Genomic DNA, 20,439 nt, shown 5'->3' with positions numbered 1-20,439 from the left:
TCAGATTAAAGCAGGGACCCAAGTGCAAATGCCTGCAGGGCTCGGCAGGTGACATTAACGAACTAAGCAGGTGGCTGTGGACAGCGGCAGGATTAAAGGGGAGGTCTGCTTCAACTCTGGCTGGCTGTTGCCCTGTGGTGGATGGGCTCAGGGTTACCAGAACTCCTGATTTTTCAAGAGCAGCTGGACTGCTGGACCTTTGTGTGGGTAAAAGAATGCTGAAAGGGATTATCCCGCTGCCTGAAAATGGTGGTTGAGGACAAGGGAGTGTCCAATGAGATGCCACTTGCTGGGACCAGACCTCCACACCCTTCCCCCTGCCCAGGACTTAATAAATCACTTAAGAAGGGGACCGATGCCTGCCTCCCAGCTGCAGGGCTGAGCTGCAGGGCCTGCAGACCACCTGAGTGTTACCCATCCAAGCACCCTTTATTCATTCTTTCAACAAAGATTTGAGCACTCTGTGCTAGGTTTTGGAGATACAGCACTGAACAGATGAAAAATGTAAGGAGAGTATTCTTGAGAGGGCTTGAAATGTTATCTTCTGGAGCTCAGAAGAGTTTGTGAACATGGAGATGAGGTCTATTTCTGACCAGAAAATTCCTGAAGTGGGAAGCCCCTCGTGGGAACAGCCCACGCTGACTTGAAGGGATGGTGGTATTGGGGATCAGGGAGGAGGAGGGACAGTCCTACCTCCCCTCCAAGTGTCCCAAAGCCCTTGTAGGTAGGGGAAGGACCCCAGTGTTCCTGGGGTTCCAAGCACTGATGCAGGGAGGTGAGAGGAGGCTGAGCTGTGGGTGGCGCAAGTGACTGCAGGCCAGCATACTATGTCAAAGAGATGGGCTGTGAGCCTCTTAGCCTCTTAGATTGGACAGAGATCCCCACTCCTCTCTGAGGGTCCAGGACAAAGCACTCACCACCACTCCCAAATTATGCATGTAGTCTACTGAAAACCCCAGCATCAAACCAAACCAAACCAAACCCAACCCAAAAACCTAGTATGGATTAGAGTAAGACCACCTGTAGCTGGGCATAGTGGCTTGTGCCTGTAATCTCAGCTACTCCAGAGGGTGAGGTGGAAGGATCACATAAGGCCAGGAGTTCAAGACCAGGCTGGGCAACATAGCAAGACTCCATCTTGAGGATCACTTGAGGCCAGGAGTTTGAGGCTGCAGTGAGCTTTGACCATGCCACTGTACTCTAGCCTGGGCAACAGAGACTCTGTTTCTTAAAAAAACAAATAAACAAAAACCAAAATCTCCTCTCACCATCCTCATCATCATGGCCAGTGAAGAGACTTTACTTTTCTCCCTTCCTCCCCCTCACCCACCACACTGGAGGAGCAAGAGCTCAGAAGAAGCCAGAGACCACCTCTTGCAAGTTTGGGAGGTGGAAAGTTTAAGCTGGGCTGGACTGAGTTTGAAAATCAAAGTGCCCAGTTACTTATTGGCTGGGCCCAAGATATTGAGATACGAAAGGAGTAGTTGATAGAGGTCAGCTGAATAAAAAGAAAACACTTCATGTTTGTACACTGCAATGAACCAGTTACTTATTACACACATTAAGTCACCCTATTTTTAAACAATAGTGTTCTCTCTGTGCCAAGCCCTCATCTATGTCTTTACATGGACTAGATCATTTAAAGCTCATAACAATCCTACAGAGGGGTCCTATCACTACCTCCATTTTACATATGAGGATGCTTTGGCACAGCTACGTTAAGTGACTTGCCGAAGGTCACACTACTGGTAAAGAACAGAGTCAAAACTCTAATAGCTGCCATCATGCATCTTATCAAATTTAATAACATGCACGCCAGTCAGAGCACATTTGTGGGCAAACCTGGGCTATCAGCTGTCACTTTGATGCCCAAGGTTTACATGTAAATTGGGAAGCTCTGTGGGGGAGAGGAGGAGGGCAGGTTGGGGGAGCACTGAACTCAGTCCAGCCCATGGCCCACTTAGTCATGGACTCTCACAGATAGGCAGGATCTTGGGGAGGTGGGTCCATCCTTATCTACATTTTACAGATGGGGAAAGCCAAACTTGTCCAAGGCCACCATGGCCAAGGGCCCCTGGGCCATCCCTCTCTTCACATGCTTCTCACTCAAATTTCTGTCCTGGGAACCAAGAAACCTTGAGGATGGAACTGCTCCCATACTTCCTTCTGAAGGAGAGGGAGAGGGCAGGGCTCTGTATTGGGTGGCAAGACACCTAGGTCCAGGCCCCCTCCTCTCAGGATGCCTGTCTGTCCCCAAGAGTGGGCCATCCTGGGTAAGGAAGCAGCAGACACTGACCTGAGCTGGCTCCAAAGGCCTCCTCCAGCGGCTTTAGGGAGGCTGGGCGCTGACCAGGGTGCTGAACCTGTATGGCACCTTCCTCTTAACACTCAGCCTAGCTGCGGGAACTGGGAGGGGGAAAGAAGGGGTCCTGCATATTTTTGTCACTCAGGGACCTCCATGACTGATTTGGACAGTGCTTACTGGAAACGCCCTGGACTTGGAGCCAGGATTTGTGGTCTGTGTGGCCTTGGGAAAGTCACTCAACAGCTGTGGACCTGCTTTTTCACCTGTCAATAGGGAAGACTAGCTGCCATCCTACTAAACTCAGAAGGCCGAGGTGAGCAGCACATGGAGCCAGGTGACAGAGCCCAGCAGAGAGCCCGAGCCCATTCCTGTGGCCCAGGGAAGCCTGTTAGGAGCTCCCCATCACATATGGGTTTCTTGAGCCTGTTTCTTCCTCTGTGGAATGGAGGTTGTGCAGGTGGTTTCAGATGCTCCTCCTAACCAGGTGCTCTGGGCACTGTGGCTGCAGGTGGAGGTACTCAGGAGCATGAGGCACGCTGTGCAAATAGGACTGACTGAGGAGCCTTAAGACCATCCTGGGGATTATGAAGCATCACTCCTTTCTCACACAAGTCCTGACGTGGTTTCCCAGCTTCTGGAATGGGTTTTGCCCAGGGACCCATGCACCTCACCTAGAGAGGATGTGAGGTCTGGGTACAGCAGTTCTACTGAAAAGAGCACTGACCTGGGTTCCAATCACGGTTCTGCCACCCCAGGGGGTAGGTGCAGCATCTCAACTAATGCCACTAGCTGTGTTTACCTTGGGGTTGTCAGGGGTACTACATGCGATGAGGAGAAGCCTAGCACGCTGTGTGCACCTGATAAATGCTTGTTTCCTGCACTGGGGGATATTCCAAGGTTCCTCTCTTGTCCTTGAGTCCCACCCTTATCTACCCATATGACTTTAGTAACAATTGCAGCAAGCACCCACCGAGCCCCAACTCTCTGTTAATAAGACACATTATTTGGTTGGATCTTGCAAGAATCCTGCAGGTAGGGGTGATGCTCATTTTGTGGATGAGGAAGGCCACACACTGAGAAAGGGAGGGCTGTGAGTAACCACGCTTGACTGAGTCTGAGACTCCTGCTTGACCCTGAGCAAATTACTGGACCTTCCCAATCCTTCCTTTTCTGGTACAGGAAATGGGGATAACACCTCATTATGGTTATGGTTTGAAGATATAATGTATGCTATAAAGGTGCTGCATTTTTAAAGATAACATGAAACACATCTAAGTGACCCATGGGGGCAAAGGAATGGAGTGGATACTGGGGGTAAAATCAACGAAAACTTCGAATCAGAGTTCATGCATGCATTAATCATAATGTGCCATTAACCAAGAGGACTGACTGGCTCAATTCTTTGTACTCGATATTCACGTAAAGGAAAAAGACATAGTCCATGTGAGCTTCTCTCACTTTAAGTTTACACAAATCTCATGGAGAACTTGTTAAAATGCAGATTCTCATTCAATGTCTGGGGTGGGGCTTGAGATTCTGCATGTGTAACAGGTTCCCAGGTGATGCTGCTGTTGCTGGTGGTCTGAGTAACAAGGAGGTAGGTCTTCCCCTCCCTTCTCAGTTCTCAAACTTGCATGATCATAGGACTCACAAAAGGAACTTGTCAAAAATGGATCTGAAGGCCGTTCCCTTGAGATCTAGATTGGGGCCCAGCATGTACTAATGTGTACTTAGAGCAAGCATCTCAGGAGATGGTTAGGCTCAGGCATGCAAGGCTGTGGTACCCATTTATATCATGGTCCATGGCGTAGACAACACAGAAGATTGGCTCACTAGACCTCTGTCCCAGTGCACCTTCCAGGAAAGGTGGGAAGAGGGAATAAAGACATCTCCCCAATATTCCATGCCAGTACCATTTGAGAGGCCATGTAGGTTCCAACAACCAGACGCATTCAATTGAGCCTTGAACTTGGATGAGCTAGCTGAGTGGTGTCCAGATGGCAGTGTGAAGGACATCTACTTTTTGGTGCAGATATAGGCAGCTGCTGTGTGGCTCTGGAGTTCCTAATCCCCAGATTGTAGCAATGATGATGTGATCCTGCTGCTCTCTGGACCATTACCTTTTTGGTTACAAAAGGTAAATTTCTGTTTACTGCAGCTGAATCCCAGGACTAATGCGTCAGCAGCATCCTCTCACTACCTTGTCCCTCTAAACCCACTGTGACTCTCACAACATCCACCTTAGGTGGCTCATCTGGAACGCAGCTGTTCAAATGGGCATCCAGTGACCTCTATTGCACTGCACCATCAGCCTCACGTTCCTCCAAGCAAGGGCTGGGCCTTCCACTTCGCACCTCCCATGGGCACTACCACTCGTGAGGTGTTCAAACCTCCTGTCATTGTTGCTGGGTCTGTCCTCAGTCAGCTAGGCCTTGCCACCCCTCACTGCCTACCATCCTACCTGCCACCCTTGCCTTTTGACCCACCCTCCAGGACAGATTCAGGGCCAAGTACGGCCGCAGTGACTTGGTCCATGTGTCCTGGGGTTAATGCAGTGACGCATTAGTCCTGGGGTTCAGATGCAGTAAACAGAAATTTACCTTTTGTAACCAAAAAGGTTACGGTCCAGAGAGCAGCAGGATCACATCATCATTGCTACAATCTGGGGATTAGGAACTCCAGAGCCACACAGCAGCTGCCTGTATCTGTGCCTTGTGGTATCCCAAGGGCAATAAAGGGCTGGGGACTTGGATGTCTGTCCTTGAATATCTCCTTTGGTGCAAAAAGTCAATAGTGGTTTATACACATGCAAGTTTTATGACAGAAACAGCTGGGGATATACATGTGGGGAATCTTCCCTTGCCCTGGTGGTGCCTTATTGGAAATGTACAGAAGTAGACAAATTTAGGTGACAAAGAATACTAACTGCTCCATAGATTCTAATATTCCTCCTGTGAAGAGAGGCATGGATCATTAATAGAATGTTATTAACAACAGTAGAAAGGGAGGCCATAGGAGAAACTAGGTTCCAAAGAGTGAGGCTGCGTGGAACTTGCTACCTATTTTCTAACTACATGTCAACAACCACTGACCATCCAGCACAGGAACACCATCGCCACTGTGAGCACAATACATTCTTGGAGTTTCAGTCTCAAGAGACTCATGACTTCACAACGGAGGTTGACAGACACTTATGACTGAGGAGATGAATGCAGTAAGAAACACTGCTAACTCTAAGAATTGGGGAAGAGACAAGCCAAGGAAGAGGAGGTGTGATGTGGGGGCTGCTGGTACATCATAGAAATGGTCCGAAATGGTCTATGGCACTTCACCACCAAAAGACAATTTAGAACCAGATCTTTATTCTACTTGTAATTCACTGGATAAACAAAGAAATTTCAAACCAAACCAAAGTGATGATCTGAATCTCATTAGACCTGAAGGTCATGAGAACTTTCTCTAGAGACAAAACCTGCCCTGTATCACATCCAGCCTAGAACCATCCCCAAAAGTCAAATCAACTGCTCTGCAGCTCACCAGCCATGTTCATCCCAAGGTGGTGATTATCAAAACCACAGATTGCTCCCCAAGGGGGACTGACTCTGGTCTCTGCCTTGCTTGGTGTAGGTCAAAATTCTTTTTTAAAAAATGGAAGAGAAGACCACAATGAGATGCTACTTCACGCTAACTAGGATGGCCATAAGCATGAAAAATAACAAGAGTTGGTGAAGATGTGGGGAAACTGGAACCCTCATAAATTACCAGTGGAAATGTAAAATGGTGCAGCTTCCGTGGAAAACAGTCTGACAATTCCTCACAAAGTAGAATATAGAGCTACCATGTGAACCAGCAATTCCACTCCTTGGTATATACCCAAATGAACTGAAAACATCTGAAACTCAAACAACTGAAAACTCAAAAACTGGTACACAAATGTTCTTGGCTGCATTACTCATAATAGCCTTTTTGTAGAAACAACCCAACTGTCCATCAACTGATAAAAGGATAAGCAAAATGTGATATATCCATACCATGGATACATGCTACAGCATGAATGAATCTTGAAAACATCACATGAAATGAAAGAAGCCAGACACAAAAGGCCATAATACTGAGTGATTCCACTTATGAGAACTGTCCAGAAAAAAAAAAAAAATCTTTAGAGACAGATGTTAGTGGTTGCCTGGGGCTGGGAGCAAGGGAATGGGGAGTCATGCCAATGGGTGTGTGGTTTCTTTTTGAGGTGGTGAAAATGTTCAGGAATTAGAAATGGTGGTGGATGTGCAACACTGTGAACATACTAAATCCACTGAATTGTATACTTTAAACAGGTATGTAAATTATGGGTATGTAAATTATATCTCAATAAAGCTGCTATTTAAAAAAGGAGGAACAGGTCACTTAGTGCTGATGTTTATTGTTAAGGCTCCAATCTTTTGGGTTCTACAAAATATACACCTGAAACACTCCAACTTGCTCCTTGATGATTACTCATGACTGGAAGGAGGGAAGTGGCCCAGATCAAAATAAGCACCATAAGCTTGACCAGGAAGTTCCTAAAGGCTCTATTCACTTCCTCCCATAGAACACCTAAGACAATGACTGTGTTTCTCAGTGTCCTTGATGCAAGGAAACTCACAAAAAAAATGGCCAATTCTGAAGGTGAATCACAATTTTGTTTTCAGAAAACAGAATTTTGTATATAACTATCTTTTCGGACTTTGCTGCTAGAAAATCTAAGTGGCAAATTTATTGTTTAAATTTTATCTTTTCCTCACATCAAGGTCCTAAAAGTTATCTACCTTCCCTGCTTCTATCTGATGGTCTCTATCATCCTTTAAATACTTCCTTTTATAATAAAGGATGTCTTTATGAGCAAACTGCTCTAAGTCCTTTTGGTTGCAAGAATGGTCCAATTCCAAAACAAAGACTAACACTCCTCCCATTTGCCATCTCTCAAAGGTTATGAGTAATGATTGAATCTGCACCTCTGCCTGATCTCTGGGTCTTTCTCCAAAGCAGAGATGTTCTAAAGGTTTCAAGGTGGTTGGCTTCCCTGACTCTGGGGTGTTTTACTAAATCACTGCTTGCCATGGGGACTGACAGAAATACCCAGGGAGCCACGCATGCTAGCCTCCCCACCCAGGCCCAGCTTCCATCTGAGACTGACCCTGGGCCTAGGCATCAGTTTAGTTTTCATCTACCTGTTCTCAGGCTAAGCAGATAGGCAATCTGAGGCTACAGAAAACAGCCTGGCAGATACCTCAGAAGAGCTACAGTAGCTTGCTTACCTACAGGTAAATAATAGGTCCTAATTTAGGGGAAGGAATCCAGGGAGCTGAGAAATGAAAGGATCCACATATGGTTGAAATGCTAGCTGCAGAGCGGAAGTGACTACCGCCTTGATCTCGTGCCTCTTAGCCTGGTGCTCTATCGTGCTCTTTCCACTCCAGAACAGGGCTCATCACTGCCCGCGTCTGTCAGGCCTCGGGCTGAAAAGGATCCGGAGAACACCAAAGGTCAGGTGGGCCAGGACACAAGGTGCAGGGCTCCCTGCTCCTCCCGAAGTTCAACACCACACTCAGAGGCAGCCCATGCTCCTGTGCTCTGTCTGGGCCCCATGGGGTCCAAAAACCACAGAGTTAGGCAAGAACCACACAAGGTTCAAGGGAAGTATGGCCTTGAACCATCATTCTTTTCCTCTGCCCCAGTTTATAGGGGTTACCAAACACAGAATGAGACATCAAAATGCTTTAGAGCAGGAAAGCCACCTCCAATTTCATAGGCTTGGCACAAGGCCCTAAGAGGAGAAGGAACTTGCTTAGGGTCATTCACTAAGTTAGTGGCAAAAATAAGATTAGCCTTCAGGTCTGCTCTGTTTTTTCCTTGGCTTTTTGACTACTGCTGCCCATGCACAGATGGACCTACAAAACTGGCCCAGACAGGAATAGCTGGAGGATTTTGCCTCATCAGAATGATGCAGTCTTTCCACAATGTTCCTGCCCTTGTGAAAGTCATTCTTGTGGCCTATGGGATTTCCAGTCACTCATTTCCATTCATGCAGCCAGAAGGGGACCCATCTTAGTGATGTCAGGAGCAATGGCAATTAATAAACGGAAGGTGCCTGAGAAGCAAGAATGGGCCCTGGGCAGGAAAAAGAGTCATTCAGCCCTACAGAAACTCAAACTCTAAAGTCTCATAAATGGAAGCAGCTATGCATTAATGTAAAAAGAAAAGTGGGAAACCGGCAACATGAATTCTGTATTGACATTTGGTTCTTAATAATAACATCCAAAATGCGTTCTGTTCTTATAGCACTGCATCTGGTCGAGGATATATGTTGCTGAAGGTTGCCGGAGTCTCCCTTGGGAAGTGGAGAGGAGCTGGTGGTGAAAGGGGAGGAGCTGATGGTGAAAGAGACACACTGATTTCTCTTTGGGAGCTATCTGCAGCTAGGTGGAGAGCTGCAGCAGGTGTCTTGGCTCTGATAAGGGGTGGGGAGGCTATCCCAGCCGGTCTGCAAACACATGAGCAGAATCCCTTGCCCCCAGCCTGCAAGAACATGGTTGCTGATGGGGACAGCGGTGGCAGCTCCAGGAGAATGGAGGGAAGCCTGGGATGTTACATTCTTGAGGCCTTCACAGGTACATGTCATCGTAGCCCGGCGGGGGGAGATGGTCTGGGTTAGGTCTGGAATGGAAAGAGGGGCTGATGAGTTGGAGTGATGGAGAGACCAGGGGAACATGGGCAGACATGACCCTGCACTGAGGGAGCCTGCCCTTCAACATGATGTGGCGGTGTGAGGAATTTAAACACATGCACTCAAGAGCCAGACAACCGGGGTTTGAATCCTGACTCCCCCGCTTGGTATAAGTTACCTAATCTTTCAGGGCCTCATTTTCTGCATCTATAAAATGTAGACGCCACCATCTACCCAAGACTGCTGAAGAAAGGATCCACTGAGTTTCTGCCACATACTTAACTTTCAAGAATTGTTAGTTCCTCCTACTTTGAGTCCTCCCCAGAGTGGAGCTGGGGAAAGAGAGGCACTGAGGGATAGGAAGCTCCTAGAAGGCTCCAGGGAGAAATCAGGCAGGGCCCTGGAGGAGGCTCCACTCTCCTGGCAGCAACAGGTGAAGGCAGCGGCAGCTCTGTGCCTGGGGCTAGAAACCTTCATTGCTGCCACACTGAACCAAGCTGCCATCAGGTCCTACTTCTCAGCATACCTGAGTGACTACGTACCCGGGTGGGCTGGTCCCAATGGGTCCAAAGGGGTCAAAGCGAGCTCCTGGGGGCACAGCGCCTGGAGGAAGTCGGTTCGGGAGGCCTGAGGAAGGGTCAATAAGTGCTCTTGGGAAGCCAGATCTCAGGGGATCCACAATCATGCCACCTCTCCGAGGCCTGAGGCAAGAAGAAAAGTTAGGTAAGCAGGTGTGGCAAGGACTGCCCTTGGAGAAAAGGCGAGGGAGGTTACAATGCACCAAGAATGGCTGGGATGTCTACTCTGGATGGCCCAAGCAGACATGTGGATGGCTGCCTGAGAGCCAGCGGAAAGTGGGCAAGGGCAAGAACACAAAGCCTATACGAAGAGCATACCTCACAGCTGAGTACTTCTGGCTCTGCAGGGGTTGGTTCTGCACAGTGCTTTTGGTTCTGTAGGGCTCCTCAAAATTGAGATCCCTGCCATATCATATACTCAAGAGGGCCAACTTGATCAAGACCAAGAGCCAGAACTTGCCAAGGTCAACTACAATGCACTCACAAGGTTCTGCAGGGTGCTACTTTAGGTTTAAGGACTAATTATAGCATTGAGGTAATTCGTGATGTTGGTTTTTTTTCTCTTTCCCTTAAGGGCCTCAGGGCAATTTCTGACTGCCTGTAGATTGCCTAAGTGTGGCTCCTGACAGCATCTGTCCCTCATGGAGTTCCACTGACCTGACCTCATGTGCTCAAACTAGGATGAATGAGCTGATGGTTCCCCAAATTTTGAGGTCACTGCTTAAGCTGCACTGCAGACTTAAGTGATATCCCCACTGTCTACAAATGAGATGCTGAAGTCGGGGTCACTTTGTAGCAGAGGTTAAAATCTATTTGGAATCATTCAGGGAAGACAGTGGATAGCAGAGGCTGTAGTAACTTTGTTGGATGCATAAGAACCATCCAGAGTCTAATGGGGCTCAGAGACTCCCTTTATTAAGTGGGGCAACCTCTGAATAGCCCTGAGCTGCCCTAAGGCCCACCATGTGCTCCTCACTATACATCTGATAAACTAGGGTGGGCAGGGGGACCGGGAAATGGCAGAAGAGCTGCCTGCTAGGCTTGTTCACCTCCCTGCCAACACTCAGTGCTCTCCTGCACCGCTCTAGGTGTGGAGGGGCAGCGTATGTGGCAGTGCTTTCTCAGCTGCTCAGCAACAACTGCCTCCTCCACCCCAAAGGAAGAGACTGACCGAAAACTCTAAAATTAGAAGATGAGCTGGGGCTGAAAAGCCACAAAAGCAAGTTGTGTTGCTGCCACCTCCCCAGCAGTACTCACCCAAAAGGGTCTAAGTCTTCTCCCCCGACAACAAACGGGCCCAGGGGATCACACCTGAAACAAACAAGAGACAATTACTGCAAGTCCCAGAGCAGCCAGGCACCTGATACATGTGGGATCACAAACACACTCACAGGCATGGGAAACCCTTGCATGAGACCATAGCACAAGGGATATTTCAGGGTGGTCCTTGGCTCAGATGAACAATGATAATCCTACAATGACAATTATGTAAGAAGGGCGGAACACAAACCTAAAAACATAGATTAAAATATTAAGTATTAATATTTTAAAATATTAATATTGGTAACCTCCAGATAAATTTTATTCACAACTTTCTCAGTTTCTTCAACTTTGTATAATGAACCAAGAAGTTTTACGTCAGAAAAATATTATTCTTAAACCCAAAACCAAAATCCCAAAGCTAAGATTTGAAAGCTTCCAAGGTGGAGACAGATGTATGGAGTCACATACAGCTAGAACAGTACTTCTCAACCTTTTTGTCAATATAGCCCCTGTATAAAATTTTAGTACTACAGATGTACTGTGTATCTGTTTATGCACTGTACCTGCAGGAGGGCCACAAACCACTGTAATCTCTAGGACTGCCCCCAACCCTAATAGCCGATTTCTGCCTTCATGGAGAATGCATGAGCTAGAAGGCACATAAATGACTGCATGCTTTCTGGAGAGTAATTCTATATTATCTCTGTAATATATATAGATATAGACAGACACAAAAATACACAGTCCTTCAAAAGTCTTATATGTCTTTTTTTTAAATGGCAGCACTTTTATTTTTTCTTACACAATGATGTGCTGCTAGGCCTAATGCTCTCACATAACAGTGAAAAAAAACAAAATTTGTTGTCATCTCTTAAAGACTCAAGAATTGCATACCAAAAAAACCTTACATAAATGAAAAGGATGAATAAATTTACAGGTGTAAATGCAAACCGCTTCCAACTCAAGACAAGTAACAGCCCATGGTGTTCTGGCAGGAAAACATCAGCTAAGAAAGGAAACTGGGTCCTACAGGCAAGACAGAAATGACAACTGGTTCAGGAGCCCTTGCCAGCCTCTAGAGAAATCCCAGAATACTCAGCCCTGACACATGAATACCCTGCACCAGTGGGAGACTGCCAGCCACACAGACCCCCCAAGCCATAGACTTGTCTTCCACAAGCATGTTCTTCACCTCAGCCATGAAGTGACCAAACCACATGCACTTAAGGGCTGAAATCAAAGATATGTAGAGTATTAAACAAATACCAAGAGAACAGTTAACTTGAATACAAGGTCAAAATCAGCAACAAGTTCTACAATCCACTGCTGATATCAGACACAAGCTTCAAGGACAAATTTCTTTCCAAAAGCTTATTCCAGTTTTGTGAGGCTGGCATGAGGTGTATACATTTGTCAGGGGCAAATTTATACGTGTGAATTATCCTATGCAGCAAATGCTACACATCTGCTTGTAGTCCATTTAGAAGCATTTGTGGTGGACATGGAGGGGCCCGACTTGTCATACTCCTGCTTGCTAATCCACATCTGCTGGAAGGTGGACAATGAGGCCAGGATGGAGCTGCTGATCCACACGGAGTACTTGCGCTCTGGGAGCACGATGATCTTGATCTTCCTTGTGCTGGCACCAGGGCAGTGATCTCTTTCTGCATCCTGTTGGAGATGCTTGGGTACATGGTGGTGCCACTGGCCAGCACCGTGTTGGCATACAGGTCCTTGTGGATGCCCACATCACACCTTATGATAGAGCTGAAGGTGGTCTCATGGATGCTGCAAAATTCCACACCCAGAAAGAAGGGCTGGAACAACACCTCCAAACACTGGAACTGCATGTTGCCAATGGTGATCACCTGGCTGTCAGGCAGTTTGTAGCTTTTCTCCAGGGAGAAGGATGACATAGCGGTGGCCATCTCCTGCTCAAAGTCCGGGGCGACGCAGCACTGCTTCTCCTTGATGTCACGCATGATCTCCCGCTTGGCTGTGGTAGGGAAGCTGTAGTCGTACTCTGTGAGAATCTTCATGAGGTGGTCAGGTCCTGGCCAGCCAGGTCCAGACGCAGGATGGCGTGGGGAGGGCATAGCCCTTGTAGATGGGCACCGTGTGTGTGACTCCGTCTCCAGAATCCATGACAATGCCAGTGGTGCGCCCAGAGGCATAGAAGTATGGCCTGGACTGCCACGTACATGTCCAGGGTATTGAAGGTCTCAAACATGATCTGAGCCATCTTCTTTCTGTTGGCCTTGGGGTTCAGGGGGCCCTCAGTCAGCAGCACCAGGTGCTCCTCCAGGAACACATGCAGCTTGTTGTAGGGTGTGGTGCCAGATCTTCTCCATGCCTTCCCAGCTGGTGAAAATCCTGTGCTCGATGGGGTACTTCATCGTCAGGATGCCGTGCTTGCTCTGGGCCTTGTCGCCCAGGTAGAAGACCTTCTGGCCCATCCCCACCATCATGCCCTGGTGTTGGGGGCACCTGACAGTGGAGGGAAACATGGTTCCAGGGGCGTCGTCCCCAGCAAAACCAGCTTTGCACATGCTGGAGCCATTGTCAATGACGAGTATGGTGATCTCTTCTTCCATTGTGATCGGTGGAGGAGCTGGGCGGCAGAGCGGTGGGAAGACATGGAGCACAGGCCAGCAGTAGTGAGTGAGACCCTCTTATATATCTCTCTATTCTTTGATCTGATAATTTTATGTCTAGGTATTCATTTTAAATAAAGAATTTAAATTAAAATATACTCACAAAGACATTAATCAAGGAAACTGCAGTCAGCCTGAATGAAGACCAGTTAGGAACATCATGGCAGGTCCCCAAGTGCAGCCATGGAAGCAATAAAAACCATGTTCTGGGAATGTTTTAAAAATGATGTGGAGAAATGCTCATGCTCTAGTGTTAAGTACTGAGGGGAAAGGGGGTCATCAATAGCCTAGGGAAATCAACGGTGAAAAACGTGTGTATGCAGGGTAGTGGTGGTGGTATGTATAATTACAACCAGAAAGAAGCGTACCGAGAGCGTAAACAGTGACAGTCACTCCTGGGTGGTGAGGGCTTTCTTTATACTTTCCTGTTTTTTCCGTAATGCATAGGGATATGGATATAATACAACACAAATATTTAGTATTTTGAAAGATGTGCTTTGGAATCTTCGCAGAGCCCTGGCAAGCAATACAAACCTGATAGTTCTGGGGCACTGGCACGTTCCTGCCAGACCTTGGGAAAGCCTTATAAACAGCAGCTAATCTAAGCTTACAGGTAAGAAGCCATTAATTAGAGAACCGGGAAAAAATCCAAAAGTAGGTGCTCCTCCAGTCAGTTCCACCTGATGGGCTGGAATCGCAGGATACTGTGATTTAAATGGACAAGGCCAGGTTTCCTAGGGAAGGAATTTTTCCTGACCTAGGTTACTGCTCCCAAGCCACAGTTCATGGAGCTAGCAGTCAAAGTTTCTAGCAGCCTCCAACATCCTGCCTAACTAGAGGCAGACCAGGTGGTGCCAGAGGGCAGTAAGCATCTTACCTGACTCCATGAAGTGCCCCCCCGCCCAGAGTGGCAAACATAGGGGGCTTCTAGTGGCTGATAAAATGCTTGGGAATAAAGATTGCTCTGAAATATGCAACCATCTCTATTTTTCTCTCTGGCCCACGAAATGTGGGGAAGAGAGAAGAAACAAGAGAACAAGAAAGGCTAGAAAGGCAGTTGCAGGCCAGGCACGGTGGCTCATGCCTGTAATCGCAGCACTTTGGGAGGCCTGAGGTGGGCAAATCACTTGAGGCCAGGAGTTCGAGACCAGCCTGGCCAGCATAGCAAAACCATGTCTCTAAAGGCCAAGTGCAGTAGTTCATGCCTGTAATCCAAGCACTTTGGGAGGTCGAGGTGGGAGGATTGCTTGAGTCCAGGAGTTCGAGACTACCCTGGGCAACATAATGAGACCCCCATCTCTATTATTAAGGAAAAATATAAAAAATTTTTAAAAAGGTACTAGAAACTGTAACAACATATTCAGTTGGCTCATATTCAACAAAGACTCACTGCAACACATGAAGACTTCTGTGACCTCATTATTTACACACTTAGAACCCATTTACTTCTTCTTTTTTTTTTTTTTGTGAGACGGAGTCTCACTCTGTTGCCCAGGCTGGAGTACAGTGGCACAATCTCAGCTCACTGCAACCTCTGCCTCCCAGGTTCAAGCAATTCTCCTGCCTCAGCCTCCTAAGTAGCTAGGATTACAGGCATGCGCCACCACGCCTGGCTAATTTTTTTATGAACTCAGAGTAAATAGTACAGAGGGAGGGGGTTCCGTCCTTCTCTAGATAGCCCCCTTGGCTGAGTCTCAGTCTTGCATGTGCTAAATGAGGCTCCAGGTATTTTTAAAATCATTTTCGTACATGGCCTCTGAACTCAAACCCCTGCTACTTCAAATGGTGATCAACTGAAGGAAGTGATCCACTCTAACCCTGCAGGAAAAACTGCATGGCTGAGCTCACTGGGTAGTATGTCGCTACTGCAAAAGCAGCCTCTTTAAGGGACTGGAAAGGGATCCTGAACACTCATGATTTCTTCCTTATGTGCTTCTCTTTTACATAAAAGCAACACACCTCGTTGGGCACACAAATCCAGCTGACACCCTTCTAATGGCTGAGGTGGTCTGGTGAACTGGAAAGGCCTCAGGACTGGGAGTCAGAGATGCGCTCTGGACATTGGGTTGGGAATTTTCCAGCTGGTTGGCAGGGGTCTGCCATGAAACTTCTGCACTTCAGTCTTTAAGATGTAAAATCTAAGTAGTAACACCCACAGGGCCTGCCATAATGATAAAATGTAGCATTGCAGGTGAACAGATTTGTTAAAGGAAAGACCTGGAAGAATGTAATAACAGCAGCTGCTGCGATTTACTGAGAGTTTGCTTTGTGTCAGATGCTGTGCTACAATTTGTTTAGTTTTTTTTTAATTTAGTTTTTAAAAGATTGACATCCACTAGCAAAATTTTTGCTTCCTATTCCCATGACATTGCGTTCTGCTGGCCTAGAGGTCTTAGTTCCAGAGGGAGGAACGCTGCCACCAGGAGACACAATAATTCCATTAAACTGGAAGTTAAGATTGCCACTTGATACTTTGGGCTCCTCTACCTTTAAGTCAACAGGCTGAGAAGGGAGTTACAATGTTGGCTGGGGTGACTGACCCAGACTATCAAGATGAAATCAGTCTACTACTCTAGAACGGAGGTAAGGAAGAGTATGCATGGAATACAGGAGATCCATTAAGGCATCTCTTAGTATTACCATGCCCTGTGATTAAGATCAATGAGAAACTACAACAGCCCAATCCAGGCAGGACTACAAATGATCCAGACCCTTCAGGAATGAAGTGACCCTTTTTGGGTCACTCCACCAGGAAAAAAAAAAAACGACCTGCTGAGGTGCTTACTGAAGGCAAAGGGAATACAGAATGGGTAGTAGTAGAAGGCAATCATCAATACCAGCTACGACCACGTGACCAGCTGCAGAAACGAGGACTGTAATTGTCATGAGTATTTCCTCCTTTTGTTAAAAACATGTTTGTGCATGCATACACTTAATTAAGAAAGCATCTTCATTTTATTTCCTTTCTCCTTTATCATGTGACATAAGGTTTACTGACTTTGTATCAGCATTTAAGTATTGTTAACTTTATGTAATAGTATTTGGGTTGGGGATTGGTGAGTTTCTAGTTGTACGAAGGATAGTTGTATTATGTTAGGCGTAATTATGACCTTATTTTGGCTTTATTTGAAGATTATGTATGATCTCAGGAGATGTGTATCAGTTCAAGTTGACAAGGGGTAGACATGTGATGGTTAATACTGAGTGCCAACTTGATTGGATTGAAGGATACAAAATATTGATCCTGGGTGTGTCTGTGAGGGTGTTGCCAAGAGATGAACATTTGAGTCAGTGGGCTGGAGAAGGCATATCCACCCTTAATCTCGTGGGCACAATCTAATTAGCTGCCAGAGAATATAAAGCAGGCAGAAAAACATGAAAAGGACATGACTGGCCTAGCTTCCCAGCCTACATCTTTCTCCTGTGTTGCATGCTTCCTGTCCTTGAACATCGGACTCCAAGTTCTTCAGTTTTGGGACTCAGACCGGCTCTCCTTGCTCCTTAGCTTGCCGACAGCCTATTGTGGGACCTTGTGATCGTATAAGTTAATACTTAATAAACTCCCCAATACATATGTATGTAGATATAGCCTATTAGTTCTGTCCCTCTAAGAGAACACTAATAAAACTATGAAACCTATTTTAGAGAACTGTCCATTATATTTACCCACATATTTACCATTTCTACCACTCTTCTTTTATACCTGATGTTTGAAGTTTCCATCTGGTATCATCTCCATTCTGTCTGAGGAACTTCCTTTTAAAACTCCTTTTGAGAAGATCTATTGACTATGAATTCTCTTAGTTTCTTTGTTAAGATATTCTTAATAATATCTTAATATCCTTTAGAAATGAAGGTGAAATATTCACTGGATATAGAATTCTGGGTTGACAATTCTTTTTCTCTCCATACTTTAAGAATGCTGTTCTTCTTTCTGGCCTCCAAGATTTCTGATGAGAAATTCGTAACCATTCAAATTCTTGTTTCTTTTTAAGCAATGAGTTGTTTTTTTCCAACTGCTTTCGAGACTTCTTTTTTAATCTTTTCAGCAGTTTGATTATAGGTTTGGGCATGGAATTCTTTAGGTTTATCCTATTTAGGGTCTGCTGAGCTTTTTGAATCTGTAGGTTTATGCCTGTTGCCAAATCTGAGAAGTTTTCAGCCATTACTTTCTTTAAAGACTTCTGTACTGCACTTTCTCCTCCTCTTCTCCTTCTCTTCCAGTGGCCCCAATGTTAGACCTTTTATAATTGCCCCACAGGTCCCTCAGACATTATTTTAAAATCTTTTTTTCTCTCTGTTGTTCAGATAGGATAATTTGTATTACCTATCTTCAAGTTCACTGACTCCTTAGTCAAATCCATTCTATTACTGATTTATGCAGTGAGATTTAAATTTTCTTACAGTATTTTTCAGTGCTAAAATCTCCATTTGGTTCTTCTTAAGGTCTTCTGTTTATTTGCTGACCTGTCTATCATTCCATTCATTTCAAGACTGTTTGCCCTCACTTGCTGGAGCATTTTCATAATAGCCACTTTAAAGCCTGTCAAATAATTCCAACATCTGTGTCATCTTAATACTGACATCGGTTGTCTTTTTCAGAGTTGAAATTTTCTTGGTTCTTTTATGCCCAGTAATTTTGGACTTTATTCCAGATACTTTGAACATTTTGGAAGAATCTTGATATTTTTGTTTTAGCAGGCAATCAACCTAGTTAAGTTTGGGCTCCAAGTTTTGCTTTCAATGTCAGTTCTGTTTGTATAGGCTTTACAATGCTACTAAGGTCTCCACCATGCATGTGCTATCCAGTTGTCAGTCTGGGACCTGAAGAGCCAGTTCTCCTGTACTTATATTCTAAAGTCTTTGATATGCTATTTAGAATCAGGTTCACTTATGTACAGCTGCAGGTAAGGCCATAACAACTTTATGGGGTGCTTTCTGAGCTCCTCCCGCTCTGTGGTCCACGCAGTACTTTCCATTTCCTTGGAAGGCTCCTTTTTGGGTCCTCTGAGCAGAAAGCTGGGGCTTTACCTGCTCTGCCATGTAGTTCCTACAACGGTGCCTGTGTCCAACATCAAGTGGAGGGAGGACAAAGGGAAGAAAAAAGCAACAGTGGTTTGTCTCATACTCTTGAGACCACAGGTCCTCTTGTTGGAAAGGAAGGTTCTTCCTCAGTTTTAGGTGTCTGCAGACTGCTGCAGGCTGGGATGTAAATGAATGGAGAAAAGGAAAAAGAAACACAGGAGATTTTTCCCACTCTCTCTGAGCATTTGTAGTGCCTTTCCCTGCTCCTTTAGCCAGAAGTGCAGGCCTTTCCTGGAACACTCTCCGTCCACGCCAATGTTCATTTCCTCACTTTGGGTTTCCCTGAATTTGGACTGCAGGATATCAGAGGGGAACAACGGTGAATTCACTGACCATTTAGCGGTACTTAAAACTCTGCTATTCTCCAATCTGCTTTCTCAATGAGGAGTTTTCATATTCTCAAATAGCTTTACTCTATGCATTCTGTAAGGCTGCACTGAATAGGAAACTCAGGATGGCATGTGCTTACTCTAGAACCAGAACCTTCTTTATCAGTACAGAATGCCAACATGGCTGCCTTCCCAGCTGCTAATCTGTACCTGTGGCTGATCACTGGGTGTGAACACTGTCTGCACACCAGGCTTCTGGAGTGCCAGCTGTGGTTTCGTGGCACAACTAGTATCAACAACCTAAATATTTTCAGACCCTAATCCCTAATTCCACAGCATTATTTGAACCACCTAGGCAAGTGCTGCTCAAACTGTCAGGTGCACATGAGTCAGTGGGGGATCCTGCTAAAATGCAGGTTCTCATTCAGAAGACTAGGAGTGGGACCTCAGATTCTGCATTTTTCACAAGCTCCCAGGTAAGCTGACACTGCTGATTTGGGGGTAGACTGTTTCCCAGTCAGAGTACAAATTCAGCCATGAAGTTTTGGTGTCTGAGTTTATTAACTTTGTCCAGCTAAGAGTGGAAACTTAGAATTGGGGAAATGAAGATGCTGATAACTGCAAAGAAGTATATGTGTACATATGCAAGAGAAGCACTGGTCACAGGGCCCTGAGCAAACAGAGCAATAAACCTTTCCATTTCCTTACCCTGAAGGATATCCTGTGAGATCAAAGCTGAACCAGGGACTGAGAAGGGTTGGGAAATGCTACATTTAAGCTAAGTGATCAAAGATTTTTAGAAGAAAGAAAAACAGAAAGAAAAAATATACATAAATTATGCTAAAAATTGTAAAGCATTCAGAACAGAAAAATGTCACCCATAATCTGACTCTAACACAATGATTACTTTTGCATTATTTTCATGTCTTCTTTCATAAGCATGTTTTAATGTGACTGTAACAATACTATATCATTTTGGATCTCATTGCTTTCCTCCACATAGGTGCTGTATTTCCTAAGTTGTCTTTACTATTAACATTTTTAATGGCCAAGTAATACATACTCAAGTGAAGCAAATTTTAAAAATTTACTTAATTTTCTATTGCAAGCACTGATGTTTCTGGGGTATGCATGCGTAACTACAAATAATACTGTACTTAATAACTTTCATGCACATGTTTTTTTTCTATGTTAGAAAACACAGATTTCTTATCCTCTGTCACTCCACTACTATATGATGGGAACAAAGAACTTGTTTCTTTGGTCAACTGATTGAAAGGAGTTGTGCTCAGGAGCCTCAACTGCACCTGACTGAGATGATTAGATCTTGGTCCTTCAAGCTAATGAGACTTAGATAAGATTTTAGACTGAGTTGATGTAGTAACGGGTTAAGACTCTTGGAAACCTCAGGGGAAGAAAGATATATTTCACATTTGAGAGGTCAGAGAACAGATTGTGGTAGATGGAATTCGATCCCCTCTCAAGACTCCACAACTCCTAATCCCCAGTACCTATGAATGTGATG

General features: G+C 45.6%; 1 protein-coding gene and 1 pseudogene across 6 annotated transcripts in view, besides 3 other annotated features; both read right to left on the bottom strand.

Moving 5' to 3' along the window:
• Positions 1-1,777: 1,777 nt before the first annotated feature.
• PSMF1 (proteasome inhibitor subunit 1) overlaps positions 1,778-20,439 on the bottom strand; it is a 58,984-nt gene continuing 40,322 nt past the window's right edge. For 2 of the 6 annotated variants that reach the window (NM_178578.4, NM_006814.5), the window contains 3 exons: positions 10,841-10,894; positions 9,548-9,706; positions 1,778-8,995 (listed from right to left, as the gene is read on the bottom strand). In NM_178578.4, the coding sequence (NP_848693.2) occupies positions 8,944-8,995; positions 9,548-9,706; positions 10,841-10,894 (265 nt within the window). In that variant the 3' untranslated portion in view covers positions 1,778-8,943. Of the gene's footprint in view, positions 8,996-9,531; positions 9,707-10,840; positions 10,895-20,439 lie in introns of all 6 variants that reach the window. The other 4 variants (NM_001323407.2, NM_001323408.2, NM_001323409.2 and 1 more) reach the window with 3 other exon arrangements.
• Positions 2,205-2,499: a silencer, noted in NCBI's record as "tiled region #3766; HepG2 Repressive DNase matched - State 17:Gen3', and K562 Repressive non-DNase unmatched - State 14:Gen5'". NCBI's record gives its function as "represses a minimal TATA promoter and a strong SV40 promoter by Sharpr-MPRA in HepG2 and K562 cells {active_cell/tissue: HepG2 | K562}" and the evidence as "EXISTENCE:reporter gene assay evidence [ECO:0000049][PMID:27701403]".
• Positions 10,623-10,742: an enhancer, noted in NCBI's record as "active region_17455". NCBI's record gives its function as "activates an Ori minimal core promoter by ATAC-STARR-seq in GM12878 lymphoblastoid cells {active_cell/tissue: GM12878}" and the evidence as "EXISTENCE:reporter gene assay evidence [ECO:0000049][PMID:35858748]".
• Positions 11,829-13,512, bottom strand: ACTG1P3 (actin gamma 1 pseudogene 3; annotated as a pseudogene).
• Positions 12,970-13,471: an enhancer, noted in NCBI's record as "H3K4me1 hESC enhancer chr20:1141197-1141698 (GRCh37/hg19 assembly coordinates)". NCBI's record gives its function as "activates a minimal SCP1, AML or CMV promoter by ChIP-STARR-seq in naive H9 embryonic stem cells {active_cell/tissue: H9 hESC(naive)}" and the evidence as "EXISTENCE:reporter gene assay evidence [ECO:0000049][PMID:30033119]".

This window comes from Homo sapiens, chromosome 20, assembly GCF_000001405.40.
Source record: "Homo sapiens chromosome 20, GRCh38.p14 Primary Assembly".
Classification (NCBI taxonomy): Eukaryota; Metazoa; Chordata; class Mammalia; order Primates; family Hominidae; genus Homo; species Homo sapiens.
Note: the sequence above shows the minus strand (reverse complement) of the source record. Positions and strands in the feature narration are given on the sequence as shown.